Source organism: Homo sapiens, chromosome 19 (assembly GCF_000001405.40).
Source record: "Homo sapiens chromosome 19, GRCh38.p14 Primary Assembly".
NCBI lineage: Eukaryota > Metazoa > Chordata > Mammalia > Primates > Hominidae > Homo > Homo sapiens.
The window spans coordinates 40,490,432-40,504,648 of NC_000019.10; the positions used below are offsets into that span (position 1 = coordinate 40,490,432).

General features: G+C 50.6%; 1 protein-coding gene across 5 annotated transcripts in view; it reads left to right on the forward strand.

Moving 5' to 3' along the window:
- Nucleotides 1–14,217, forward strand: part of SPTBN4 (spectrin beta, non-erythrocytic 4) — a 109,464-nt gene that overhangs the window by 23,431 nt on the left and 71,816 nt on the right. For all 5 annotated transcript variants that reach the window (NM_020971.3, XM_017027051.2, XM_017027052.2 and 2 more), the window contains 8 exons: nt 2,532–2,623; nt 4,466–4,546; nt 7,058–7,173; nt 11,490–11,602; nt 11,697–11,884; nt 11,959–12,076; nt 12,344–12,502; nt 13,399–13,701. In NM_020971.3, the coding sequence (NP_066022.2) occupies nt 2,532–2,623; nt 4,466–4,546; nt 7,058–7,173; nt 11,490–11,602; nt 11,697–11,884; nt 11,959–12,076; nt 12,344–12,502; nt 13,399–13,701 (1,170 nt within the window). The remainder of the gene's footprint in view (nt 1–2,531; nt 2,624–4,465; nt 4,547–7,057; nt 7,174–11,489; nt 11,603–11,696; nt 11,885–11,958; nt 12,077–12,343; nt 12,503–13,398; nt 13,702–14,217) is intronic.

Genomic DNA, 14,217 nt, shown 5'->3' on the forward strand with positions numbered 1-14,217 from the left:
TTTGTATCGACCCTGTTCCAAACACTGTTCTAAGCACTTGACATTTAATACACACAGCAACCCCATAAATTAGGTACTATTTAGTACCCCATTTTACCAGTGAGGAAATGGAAGCCCAGATAGGTGGTGTCATCTGCCCAAGATCACATATACCTGGGTGTTGGAGCTGAAATTCGAATCCAGGCAATCTTGATCCAGTATAGAGACAAATAGACAAAGGTGTGCCTTTTAGGAGCTTACATTGTGGTGAGGAAGACAGATAATAAATACATAAATATGTAAAGAAGACATGTATGGAAAAAGGACCAGTTCTAGTTAGAGAAGTTTAAAAAGCTATGCAGGGCCAGGTGAAGTGGCCTGTAAACCCAGCACTTTGCGAGGCTGAGATGGGAGGAACACTAAGGCCAGGAGTTTGAGACCAGCCTGGCCAACATAATGAGACCTTAAATAAATTTAAAAAATTAGCCAGGCATGGTGGTGCATGCCTGTGGTCCCAGCTACTCAGGAGGCTGAGGCAGGAGGATCACTTGAGCCCAGCAGTGTGAGGCTGCCGTGAGCTATGATCATGCCACTGCACTCCAGCCTAGACAACAGTGAGACCATGACTTAAAAGAAAAAAAAAGCTACCCAGAAAAATACAGATTATGATAAAACAAGTAATAGGGATATAAAATGTCAGTTGGTGGTGTTGAGATTTTAGATATGGTGGTCAGAAGAGGGCTGTCTGGGAAGTTGATGGCTGAATGACATACAAAGATGAAGAGAGAATGCATTCCAGGCAGGGGGCACAGCAGATGCAAAGTCCCTGAGATAGAAATGAGCTTGGCCTGTTGGAAATACAGGAGGAAGAGCAGAGTGGCTAGAGAATGGGAGGCAACGGGAGACATGGAGGAGCTGAGGCTCAGGGGATGGAAGGGGCTAGGTGATCTGTGATGAGTAGTTTGGATTTTATTCTGTCTGAGATGGGGAGAGGTTGCAACATTTTATCAAGGGGAGGTGCATACAAGTTTAGAAAGATAGATCCCTTTGGCTGGGCATGGCGGCTCATGCCCATAATCCCAGCACTTTGGGAGGCTGAGGCAAGAGGATTACCTGAGTTTAGGAGTTCGAGCCCAGCTTGGCCAACATGGTGAAACCCCGTCTCTACTAAAAATACAGAAATTAACTGGGCTTCATGGTGCACGCCTGTAATCCCAGCGACTCAGGAGGCTGAGGCAGGAGAATGTGAGCCGAGACCACACCACTGCACTCCAGCCTGGGTAATAGATAGAGACTCTGTCTCAAAAAAAAAAAAAAAAAAAAAAAAAGTGACCGGGCTTGGTGGCTCATGCCTGTAATCCCAGCACTCTGAGAGGCTGAGGTGGGTGGATCACCTGAGGTCAGGAGTTCGAGACAAGCCTGACAAACATGGAGAAACCCTATCTCTACTAAAAATACCAAATTAGCTGGGCCTGGTGGCACATGCCTGTAATCCCAGCTACTAGGGAGGCCAAGGCAGGAGAATCGCTTGAACCTGGGAGGTGGAGGTTGCGGTGAGCTGAGATCACACCATTGCACTCCAGCCTGGGCAACAAGAGTGAAACTCCATCTAAAAAAAACAAAAACAAAACAAAAAAAAAAACAAAGAAAGATCCCTCTGGGTTGGAGGTGTTCACCAACATTGGGAGCTGAGAGCCCAGGGAGGAGGATAGAGTTGGACCAGGGTGGGACTATGGGGAAGCAACAAGGGGCAGGTGGGGAAGACACTCAGGGAGTGGAGTGGACAGGCCTTACGGGAGGGGAGAGGGAGAGGGTGTCCAGGGGAAGACTCAGAGCTCTGGCCTGGGGACTAGAGGATGATGGGGCTGCCCTGAGACAGGGACAGGGAGAAGGAGCAGGTTTGAGGAACACCCTGAGGCCAGTTTGAGATGGGTCCAGTGGTTATGGGTCCAGGACATTGGAGTTGGGGATGTTCCAGGTAGATGGAACAGCCAGTGCTAAAGGACCAAGGAGGGAGGATGCTTGTGATTCAGGAAAAAGGCCAGCAGGTATGGAGTGGAGTGAGCTGTTGAAGATGAGGTCATCAACTTACTGATGGGAGATCATGGGAACTTTTACTTTTACCTTGAATGAAACAGAGATACGGAGGGTGTTGAAAAGAGGAGCAAGGATCTGATTTGAGTGTTCGCAGGGTCCCTCTCTCTGCCATGTGGAGAACACACTGTGGATGCAGGAGTGGGGAGATCAGCATGAAGGCCACCGCACTAGCCTAGGCAGGAGACGGCAGTGCCTTAGACCAGGAAAGTGGCCCAGATGCTCAGTTTGGAGGCTTTCTTGGAAACAGAGACCGAAGTCCTAACTGATCCCCTAATTGTGGATGTCCTGGCCCTCAGGAATTATCCTCACACTCCTGGACCCCCACCCCCAGCCAGAAGCTGCCTCCCCCATCTCCTCTGTCACCTGCCACCTTCTCTGGTAGCAGATGGTGAGTGGGGGGCATTCGAAGCCTCAAGCTCTCCAGGCCCTGGTAGCCATTTTTTGTATCTTCACAGATTCAAGTCATCAAAATTGAGACTGAGGACAACAGAGAGACACGCTCAGCCAAGGATGCTCTGCTCTTGTGGTGTCAGATGAAGACAGCTGGGTAAGCACCCCCACCACCTTCCTTAGGAGGTTAGGCAAGTGGTCCCCTAACCTCTGCAATTCCTTCCCAGACAAGAGCTCAAGGGGCAGCCCATGTCCTCAGGGTCAAAAAGTTACATCTGAAACTAACCAGCTGGTAAATAAAATATGTCCACTTCTCCAGCCTTGACTAATAATCCTTCCTAACATGCTAGAAGGCCAGGTTCAAATTTATTTTGAACTTGCTCTGTCACCCAGGCTGGAGTGCAGTGGCATGCACTGAATAGCTCACTGAAGCCTTGATCTCCTAGGTTCCAGTGATCCTCCCTCCTCAGCCTCCCAAGTAGCTGGGACTACTGCACCCCACCCAGTTTCAAATGTAGAACTCTTGGCCTCACTAGGCACAGTGTCTCATGCCTGTCACTTTGGGAGAATGAGGCTAGGACTTTGAGATCAGCCTAGGCAACATAGCAAGACCCCATCTCTACAAAAAGTTGTGGGGTTTTTTTTGTTGTTGTTGTCGTTGTTGTTTTTAATCACAGGCATGGTGGCAGACGTCTGTAGTCGTAGCTTCTCAGGTTCCCAGGAGGCTGAGATGGGAGGATCATTTGAGTCCAGGAGTTCAAGGTGCAGTGAGCTACGATCATGCCACTGCACTCCAGCCTGGGCTACAGAGCAAGACCCTGTCTTGAAAATAAATAACAAACACATAAATAAATAAACAAACAAATAAATAAAAATAAAATAGAACTCTTGGACTCCTCAGAGACCAATGCTGGAAAGAGGTGAACTGTCCCCAGCCTGCTCTCTTCTCTCTCTCCCCCATCCCATTTCATCCTACATTTCAAGAGATCTCACATTCACCTGTGTGGACCCTCAGTGCTATGTCCAAGCTCTGGCCACCCTCTCCCGCTGTGAGCATCTCCCTTCTGCCTCACAGGGCATACACAGGAAAGTTCAAAGTCCTTGGTCGCTTCAGTGTGGCTGAGCTGGTGGCGGGGTGGGGTGCAGGCTCTACTGGGAAGGTTCCCTTTGGCCCCCAACTCTCTGCCCTGCAGGGAGCAGTAAGACCTGAAACTCAATTGTCCTCTGTAGAGCAGCTCCTGGGAGGACGGAGGGAGGGGCAGGTGTGGGATGGAGGTGGGCTTCTCTGACTCTCATCCTTCTGGCTGTCTGTCTTGCAAAGGAGATCATGGGGACTTTTGCCATCTGTTTCTCCATGTGTCTATCTCTATATCTGCTTTTCCTTGTACTTATCTCTTCTCTCCTCCCTCCTTCCCTCCTTTCCTCCTTCCCTTTTCTCTTCATGTCTTCTTTCTCTCTCCTCTCCTTTCCCTCCCCATCTCTGTCTATATCTTGCTCTCTCCCTGTCTTGATACCTCTCTCCTTCCTCTCTCTCTCCTTCCCTCTCTTCTCTCTTCTTTCTTTTGCTTCTCTTTTTCTCTTCTCTCCTGCTATCTATCTTCTATCAATCTATATATCTATCATCTATCAACCTATATCTATTATGTATGTATGTATCTATCTATCTATCTTCTATCAATCTATATATATATCATCTATCAACCTATATCTATTATCTGTCTATCATCTATCAATCTATCTATCACCTATTTATCATCTATCTATGTATCTACCTATCTCTCTCTCTACTCACCATCTATCACCTGTCTATCATCTATCTGTGTATCTACCTATCTCTCTCTCTACCTACCCAACACCCACCCATCCATCCATCTTTCTATGTTCTACCCCCTCTCTCTCATCTTCCTTCCCTATCATTCGGTCTCCCTCTGTCTTTTTCCCCTTTCTTCCCTCCTAACTCTCCCCATCTCTGCCTCTGTTTCTCCCTTCACCCTTCCAGTTACCCTGAGGTAAACATCCAGAATTTCACCACCAGCTGGCGGGATGGCTTGGCCTTCAATGCCCTCATTCACCGGCACAGGTACCACCTGGCCTGGGACAGCCCAGTCCTGCCCTTCAGCCCCCCATATCCCTGCAGCTGCACACCTGTACATGTACTTGTGTAGATGGCACACACAGACATAAAGACCCATCCCTTCACCTCTACACACACATACAGTTTTCTTTCCCTTCACACACATGCCCTGCACATTTACACACAGGAACACACACCCACACAGGCTCCTGTCCAGGCCACATACCCTGTGCACACATGGACACACATGAGCCCTCGCACAGATGCATACACACACACAGATACCCACGCACGTGCACAGCCTGCCCGCAGGGTAGGAAGCTCGCTCCCCTGTCACTGTCATGCTGCTGTGTACCCAGCACCTCCTCCTATCAGAAAATGCTTTCTCAGGCCAGGCGCAGTGGCTCACACTTGTAATCCCTGCACTTTGGGAGGCCAAGGTGGGAGGATCACCTGATGTTAGGAGTTCAAGACCAGCCTGGCCAACATGGCAAAACCCCATCTCTACTAAAAATAAAAATAAAAAATTAGCCAGGTGTGGTGGTGCGCCCCTGTAGTCCCAGCTACTGGGGAGGCTGAGGCAGGAGAATCGCTTGAACCCAGGAGGCGGAGGTTGCAATGAGCCGAGATTGTGCCACTGCACTCCAGCCTGGGCAACAGAGTGAGACTCCACCCCTAACCCCCCCACCACCACCAAAAAAAAGAAAAGAAAAGAAAACACTTCCTCAAAGTGAGCCCTTAGAGTCCCCGTCCCTGTACACCCACGGATTCATACCTTGGGGCCTGACATTGAAATAGCTGAGGGTCAGACACCCACACAAATTAGACACACATCATGATCATTCGCATGACATATTGGGGAAACTGAGACTCAGGCGCAGGAAGGGGCTTGTGGTGGTGTAGCTGAAGCCAGAACCCAGCTTTTTCTGCTGTGGACACCTGTCCACTCACAATCCCTGCTTCTCACACCTACACACACTCGTACACACATGGGGAGACCCAGACCCACCTCCATACACAGAAACTCACAAGCTGCACCAGGGTCATCCTCACACTAGGTGACATTCGCTCAGTGTTTTCTATGCACAGGCACTGTTCTAAGGGCTTCCCACTAAAACATTCAATAGTCAATGTATCCATTCAGTGTGTCCGATCCACCTATGGGCAGGTGCTATTTTTATTTATTTATTTATTTTGAGGGTGAGTCTCACTCTGTCCCCCAGGCTAGAGTGCAGTGGCACGATCTCGGCTCACTGCAACCTCTGCTTCCCAGATTCAAGTGATTCTCCTGCCTCAGCGTCCTGAGTAGCTAGGATTACAGGCGCCCGCCACCACACCTGGATAATTGTTGTATTTTTAGTAGAGATGAGGTTTCACCATGTTGGCCAGGCTGGTCTTGAACTCCTGACCTCAGGTGATCCACCCACCTCGGCCTCCCAAGTAGCTGGGATTACAGGCATGTGCCACCACGCCCGGCTAATTTTGTTTGTTTAGTGGAGATGGGGTTTCACCATTTGGGCCAGGCTGGTTTCAAACTCCTGACCTCAAGTGATCTGCCCAACTCAGCTTCCCAAAGTGCTGGGATTACAGGGATGAGCCACCATGCCCGGCTGGCAGGTGCTATTATTATCCCCATTTTAGAGGAAACCAAAGCACAGAGAAACGCAGTAGCTCACCTAGAGTGACACAACCAGGATATGACCAAGCTGGGGCTCAAGCTCTGATGAACTGGCTCTGGTCCTCACACTTCTAACCACTGCATAACACTACATAAGAATCCCCAAAGTAAGCATATGTGTGTCAGAGGTACATGTGTCCTGGCCAGACGCAGTGGCTCACACCTGTAATCCCTGCACTTTGGGAGGCCTAGGCAGGCAGATCACTTGAGGTCAGGAGTTCGAGACCAGCCTGGCCAACATGGTGAAACCCCGTCTCTACTAAAAATATAAAAATTAGCAGGGCCTGGTGGTGCACACCTGCAATCCCAGCTACTTGGGAGGCTGAGGCAGGAGAATTGCTTGAACCTCGGAGGCGGAGGTTGCAGTGAGCTGGGATCGCGCCCCTGCACTCCAGCCTGGGTGACAGAGCGAGACTCCATCTCAAAAAAAAAAAAAAAAAAAAAAAGAGGTACATGTGTCCTCACACAACACACATAAGGGCTGTACACACTCGTATTGTCATATGATTTCACAGAGACATACACAGGCAGGCACCGTGTGGGCTCATCTCTTCCAAGCACACTCAGGCTGGCCTACCCATTCGTCTGTGTGCACAGGCCGGCCCAGCAACAAATGCACATGCACACACACATTCCCGGGAACGCACAGAGACATGCCCGCGTCCATCACACTCACATCACAGCTAAATGCTGCACAGCACACACAGCTTGCCCCTTGGCTAGACTGTGCCCTTCTGCCCATTGCCCTGGGCAGTGCTCAGACAAGGGTGGCTTCTTCCCTGCTTGCCCGCCGGCTCTGGAGCCTGCCTGCTGCCTGCCTGCTCTGTGCCCCTGCCCAGGCCTGATCTCGTGGACTTCAGCAAACTCACCAAGTCCAATGCCAACTACAACCTGCAGAGAGCCTTCCGCACAGCTGAGCAGCACCTGGGGCTGGCGCGGCTGCTGGATCCTGAAGGTGAGCCTCTCGCGGGCCCAGCCCAGACTTCGTCTTGGGGGACTCCCAACCCCAATGCCATGTCACACTCAACTCCATCCCACCCCAGCACCATCCCAAATCCTGAGGCCTCTCCAAATCCCAACTCTTTCCAAATCCCAACTGTCTCCTCAGCCTCCTCCCCTTGTGCCTCCCCTTCCTCATGTGCGATCCCTCCCACATACCATCCTCACACCTCTTCCTCTCTCATCCCCAACCGTGTCCCAACGTAACCCCTCCTCTTCCCCATTCTCAATTTCCACCCATCCCCAACACCCTCCCCAACCCTGCTTTCAACCATCTCCCACTAAACCAACTCCCACTCCCCTACCCCAGCCCCAAACCCAGTGGCATCTCCAACGCCATCCCCACCCCTAACGCCAACCCCATCTTCAAGTGTCTCCATCCCCACCACATCTTCGGCTCCAACTCCATTCCTATCCCCACCCTAATCCATTTCCAAACTCATTTCGCCCTAGCCCATCCCCATGTCTATCTCTCCCACAACTCCATCCTCATCCTCAGCTGCTTTTCCATTTCCAGTCTATCCCTAATCCCATCCCTGACTTCAGCCTCAGCCCCAAACCAGGATCAGCCCTGACACCCATCTCCCATCCCAAATTAAAGCTGCTCCCTTCCTCTGAGCTCTACTGTGTGCCAGACACATGTCTGGGAACCTTATCAGAGCTGTTCACTTTCATCTTCACACTGACCTGGTTAGAGAGAATTTATCAACCCTGTTTTATTTTATTTTATTTATTTATTTATTTATTTATTTATTTATTTATTTATTTATTTTTTTAGATGGAGTCTCACTCTGTCGCCCAGGCTGGAGTGCAGTGGCATGATCTCGGCTCACTGCAAGCTCCACCTCCTGGGTTCACACCATTCTCCTGCCTCAGCCTCCCAAGTAGCTTGGACTACAGGCGCCCGCCACCACGCCCGGCTAATTTTTTGTATTTTTAGTAGAGACGGGGTTTCACCGTGTTAGCCAGGATGGTCTCGATCTCCTGACCTTATGGTCCACCTCCTTGGCCTCCCAAAGTGCTGGGATTACAGGCATGAGCCACCATGCCCGGCCTATTTATTTAATTTTTGAGACGGGGTCTGGCTCTGTTGCCCAGGCTGGAGTGCAGTGCCATGATCTCGGCTCACAGCAACCTCCACCTCACAGGCTCAAGTGATTCTCCCATCTCAGCCTCCCAAGTAGCTGGGACTACAGGTGTGCACCATCACACCTGGCTAATTTTTGTATTTTTAGTAGAGGTGGGGTTTCATCATGTTGCCCAGGCTGGTCTCAAACTCCTGACCTCAGGTGATCTGCCCACTTTAGCCTCCTAAAGTGCTGGAATTATAGGTGTGAGCCACCGTGCCTGGACGTTTTATTTATTTATTGTTCTTATGTTCATTTATTTATTTATTTGAGACAGAGCCTCGCTCTGTCACTCAGACTGGAGTGCAGTGGGGGCGATCCTAGCTCACTGCAACCTCCGCCTCCCGGGTTCAAGTGATTCTCCTGCCTCAGCTTCCCAAGTAACTGGGACTACAGGTGCACGCCACCAAGCCTGGCTAATTTTTTTTTTTTTTTGTATTTTTAGCAGAGACAGGGTTTCACCATTGTTGGCCAGGCTAGTCTCAAACTCCTGACTTCAAGTGATCTGCTTGCCTCGTCCTCCCAAAGAGCTGGGATTACAGGCGTGAGCCATCACACCTGGCTTACTTATTTATTTTTTTATCCAACTGAATTTAATATTTAAACCCTGTTTAATTATTATTATTATGTTTGAAATGGGGTCTCACTGTGTTGCCCAGGCTGGAGTGCAGTGGCACAATCTTGGCTCACTACAGCTTCAACCTCCTGTGCTCAAGCAATCCTCTCACCTCAGCCCCCAGAGTAGCTGGGGCTATAGGCGTGCACGACCATGCTCAGCTAATTTTTGATTTTTTTTTTTTTGGTAGAGGTGGGGTCTCGCTATGTTGCCCAGGCTGGTCTCAAACTACTGGACTCAAGCGATCCTCCCACCTTGGCCTCCCAGAGTGCCTGGGATTACAGGCCCGAGCCACATGCCTGGCTTAACCTGTCTTCCAAAGTGATGAGAATGACAGCTCAGGGATGTTGTCACTTGCCCAGCATCACACTGAAAATCAGGAAACCAGACCTTATGGCTCCAGAATTCATGGTCTTAATCAGTCCTCTACCCTGCCTCTTATAGCTGTATCCTGTGCTCAGTGCCTGGTACGTAGTAGGTGCTAATGGATGTCAGTTGGACAAGGCAGTGAAGAATAAAGGCCAGGTATACTGTTGTGCATCCAGTGGGTAAATTAAAATGATATCACTCAGTCATGGTGATGGCTTGTGCCTGTAATCCCAGCACTTTGGGAGGTTAAGGCAGGAGGATCGCTTGAGGCCAGAAGTTCAGGACCAGCCTGGGCAATGTAGTGAAATCCCATATCTACAAACCTGTAGTCCCAGCTACACAGGAGGCCAAGGCAGGAGGATCACTTGAGCCCAGGAGTTCGAGGCTGCAGTGAGCTCTGATTACAACACTGCACCCCAGATCCCAACTCAAAAAGCAAAAAACAACAACCAATTAAAGTGATGTTAGAATTTGTTGAGTTTCCCCTCTGTGCCAGGCTAGTCTTTCTAATACTTACATTGTTCCCAGGAGGCAGGAACCATGATAATCTTTATTATAACAATGGGGAAACTGAGGCTTAGAGAAGCTAGGTTATTTTCTAAGGACATGCAGTGAGTAAGTGTTGAACTGGGATCCAAGTGCATGCTGCCTCCAAAGCCTATGTTCTTGACATCAAGCCTTGTGCACAATTTGCAAGCTAACTAAATTTTAATTTAGCACCTACTGTGTGCTGGGTAAGACAGAACAGTGATAAAGAAGATAGGCATACGGCTGGGCCCACGCCTATAGTGGCCCACGCCTATAGTCCCAGCACTATGGGAAGCTGAGGCAGGAGTATTGTTTCAGCCCAAGAGTTCAAGACTAGCCTGGGCAACACAGAGAGACCCTGTCTATGTTTTATAAAAAATAAAAAGTCTATTTAAAAAATTACAAAAAATTAGCCGGGCGTGGTGGTGTGTGCCTGTAATCTCAGCTACTTGGGAGGCTGAGGCATGAGAATTGCTTGAACCTGGGAGGCAGAGGTTGTGGTGGGCCAAGATCACGCCATTGCACTCCAGCCTGGGCAATAGCTTGAGACTGTCTCAAAAAAAAAGAAAGAAAAAGAAAAGAAAGGAAAGGAAAGGAAAGGAAAAGAAAGGAAACAGGCATAGTGTTTGTCCTCATGAAGCTCAAGCTCTAGATAATGACATAATCACATAAGTGAATATGTAATTACAAATTGTGATACATTCTGGGAAGGACATCATAAGATGCTAAGAGGAGAATAACATGAGGATTATCAACTATAGACAGAGTGAACATGGAGGCTTGTCTAAGGAAATTTGAGTTGAGCCAGGCATGGTGGTTCACACCTTTAGTTCTGACTACTCAGGAGGCTGAGGTGGGAGGATTGCTTGAACCTAGGAGCTCGAGGCTGCAGTGAGCTATGATTGCACCACTGCACAATCAGCCTGGACAAGAGAGCCAGACTCCATCTCTTGAAAAAAAAAAAAGTAAAAAGTTGAGCTCTGAAGAATAAGTGGGAATTAGGAACACAGAAGAGGAACAGTGCTCCAGACAGTGAGAACAGCACATGCAAAGGCCCTGAGGTGGAAGGTAGAAAGGTGTGTTCAAGAAACAAATATAGGCCAGGTGCGGTGGCTCACATCTGTAATCCCAGCACTTTGGGAGGCCGAGGTGGGCGGATCACCTGAGGTCAGCAGTTCGAGACCAGCCTGACCAACATGGTGAAGCCCTGTCTCTACTGAAAATATAAAATTAGCCAGGCATGGTGGTGCATGCCCATAACCCCAGCTACTTGGGAGGCTGAGACAGAAGAATCACTTGAACCTGGGAGGTAGAGGTTGCAGTGAGTTGAGATCGTGCCATTGCACTCCAGCCTGGGCAACAAGAGCAAAATTCCATCTTAAAAAAAAAAAGAAAAGAAAAAGAAAAGTATAGCTTATTTCTCTGCGGTGGTTTATATGTGTCAGGCACTATTTAATTCCAGGAGGTAGATTTCTATTTGACGGATACAAAACCTGAGGAACAGAGAGGTTAATTATCTTGCCCAAGGTCACACAGCTAGTGAGAGTGGCTTCTCCATCCCTCCATCCAATACCTTCAAGCACTCTGTCAAAGTGCCCACTGTCTTGTTTCCCCACTCCCTCTTGCTTCCAGATGTGAACATGGAGGCTCCAGATGAGAAGTCCATCATCACCTACGTGGTCTCTTTCTACCACTATTTCTCCAAGATGAAGGCTCTGGCTGTGGAGGGGAAGCGTATCGGGAAGGTATAAGGAGCCAAGGAGTGGGTGAGTGGGAAGCTGGAAGCTGGTGGCAGGCACGGGTGGGATGAGGCTGACCCCCCTTCCTCTGCTGTGTCAGGTCTTGGACCAGGTATTGGAGGTGGGGAAGATCATAGAACGCTACGAGGAGCTGGCGGCTGAGCTGCTGGCCTGGATCCACCGCACCGTGGGCCTCATCAGCAATCAGAAATTTGCCAACTCCTTAAGTGGGGTGCAGCAGCAACTCCAGGCTTTCACGGCCTATTGCACGCTGGAGAAGCCTGTCAAGTGAGGCCCAGCTCTGGAGGGAGGGTGGGCAGGGGTGGCATGACGGCAGGGCTCCTGAGCTCATGCCCCTTCAGGTTCCAGGAGAAGGGGAACCTAGAGGTGCTGCTCTTCAGCATCCAGAGCAAACTGCGTGCCTGCAACCGTCGCCTCTTTGTGCCTCGGGAGGGCTGTGGCATCTGGGATATTGACAAGGTGAGGCCGGGGATGCAGGGGAGAGGCGGGGTTGCACTGTGGAGTTGTATAGGTTGCACACTGCTCAAGGGAATCATTCACATTGTAGACATGATGGATTAGATATTCATTCTGACAGTTTTTCAGTAGTAAAGTGTCATAAGGAAGCAATATTTTTTCCAATTTGCATGAAGTTGCCATAATGCTATGAGTGACCTCAGACTAAGTCAAGACCATTAAACTGTGGGGAGCTGTCAGAGTCTGAGTGCCTCCTCCCATCTCCTGCAGGCATGGGGTGAGCTGGAGAAGGCTGAGCATGAGCGGGAGGCTGCCCTACGGGCTGAGCTGATTCGGCAGGAGAAGCTGGAACTACTGGCACAGAGGTTTGACCACAAGGTGGCTATGAGGGAGAGCTGGCTGAATGAGAACCAGCGTCTGGTCTCCCAGGTACAAGGTGTAGGGCTTGGCTCCAGGGTAAAGGGACGGAGGGCGGGGCTGATGGTCCTGGGACCAGAGAGGGAGACTTGATCTTCTAGGCAACAGGGAAGAGTTAGATTAGTCTCCTGGTGATAAATGAGGATGGGGATGGGAGACTTGGCCTTCCAAGTGATTGTTGGGTGAGGGGAATGGGCCTGATCTCCAGGGTAATGGGAGAGTGAGGCTGGTCTCCAGGGTAACTAGAGAGGGCAGAATTCATCTTTTCAGGAATGGGGGAGTGTTTTAAGTGACAAGGGAGGTTGTATCTTGTGTCTAGGGTAACTCAGAAGGATAGAATTGGTTTCCTAAGTAACAGAGTCAGGTAAACCTGGTCCCTAATCTCCAGGACAGGGGAAGCATGGGCCTCCTTCCTGGGTAACAAGTTTAAGGTTAGAGATGTAACAGGAGGGTGGGACTTGTTTCCAGGGTAACTGGAGAGAGTGGGGCTGGTCTCTGGGGAAACGGGAAGGTGGGGTTGGTCTCTAGGGCAACAGGGGAGGGTGGGTCTGGTCTCCAGGGTAACTGGGGAAGATTGGGCTGGTCTCCAGGACAACAGGGGAGGGTGGAGCTGGTCTCCAGGATAACTGTGGAAGATGGGCTGGTCTCCAGGGCAACAGGGGATGGGGGGTTGGTCTTTAGGGTAACTGGGGAGGGTGGGGCTGGTCTCCAAGGTAACAATGGAGGGTGGGGCTGGTCTCCAGGTTACCTGGGTAACAGGGGAGGATGAGGCTGGTCTCCAGGATAACTAGGGAGGGCAGGGCCAGTCTCCAAGGTAATGGAGTGGGGAGTCCCCAGGGTCACACAGGGTCAAGGTAACAGGTGGACTGCTGAGGCAGCATGGGTGAGTGTCTGGCTCACTGCCCCAGGACAACTTTGGGTATGAGCTGCCCGCAGTGGAGGCAGCCATGAAGAAACACGAAGCGATCGAGGCAGACATTGCGGCCTACGAGGAGCGGGTGCAGGGTGTGGCGGAGCTGGCCCAGGCATTGGCAGCCGAAGGCTACTACGATATCCGGCGGGTGGCAGCCCAGCGTGACAGCGTCCTGCGCCAGTGGGCCCTGCTAACTGGGCTTGTGGGTGCCCGGCGGACACGACTTGAGCAGAACCTTGCCCTGCAGAAGGTCTTCCAGGAGATGGTGTACATGGTGGACTGGATGGAGGAGATGCAGGTGCCGGCGGGGGGGCGGGGATGCGGGTGGAGTGCCAGGAGGGAGGGGAGGATGCAGACGCTGAAAGAGTTGTCAGACAGCTGGAGATGGAGAGGGAAGGGCAGAGATAGAAGAAGATAGAGAGAAAGCCAGGGAGACAAAAAGAGAGAACAAGAGAGAGAGGGAGAGAAAGATACAGAGATGGACAAGAGAGGCAGACAAAGAAACACAGAATGAGAAAGAGACAGAGACAAATAGAGAGAAATAGAAACATGCTGGACACGGTGGCTCACACCTGTAATACCAGCACTTTGGGAGGCCAAGGAGGGCAGATCACTTGAGGTCAGCAGTTTCAGACCAGCCTGGCCAACATGGTGAAACCCCATCTCTACTAAAAATACAAAACAATTAGCCGGGCGTAGTGGCGGGCGCCTGTAGTCCCAGCTACTTGGGAGGCTGAGGCAGGAGAATGGCGTGAACCCGGGAGGCGGAGCTTGCAGGGAGCCGAGATCCCGCCACTGCACTCCAGCCTGGGCG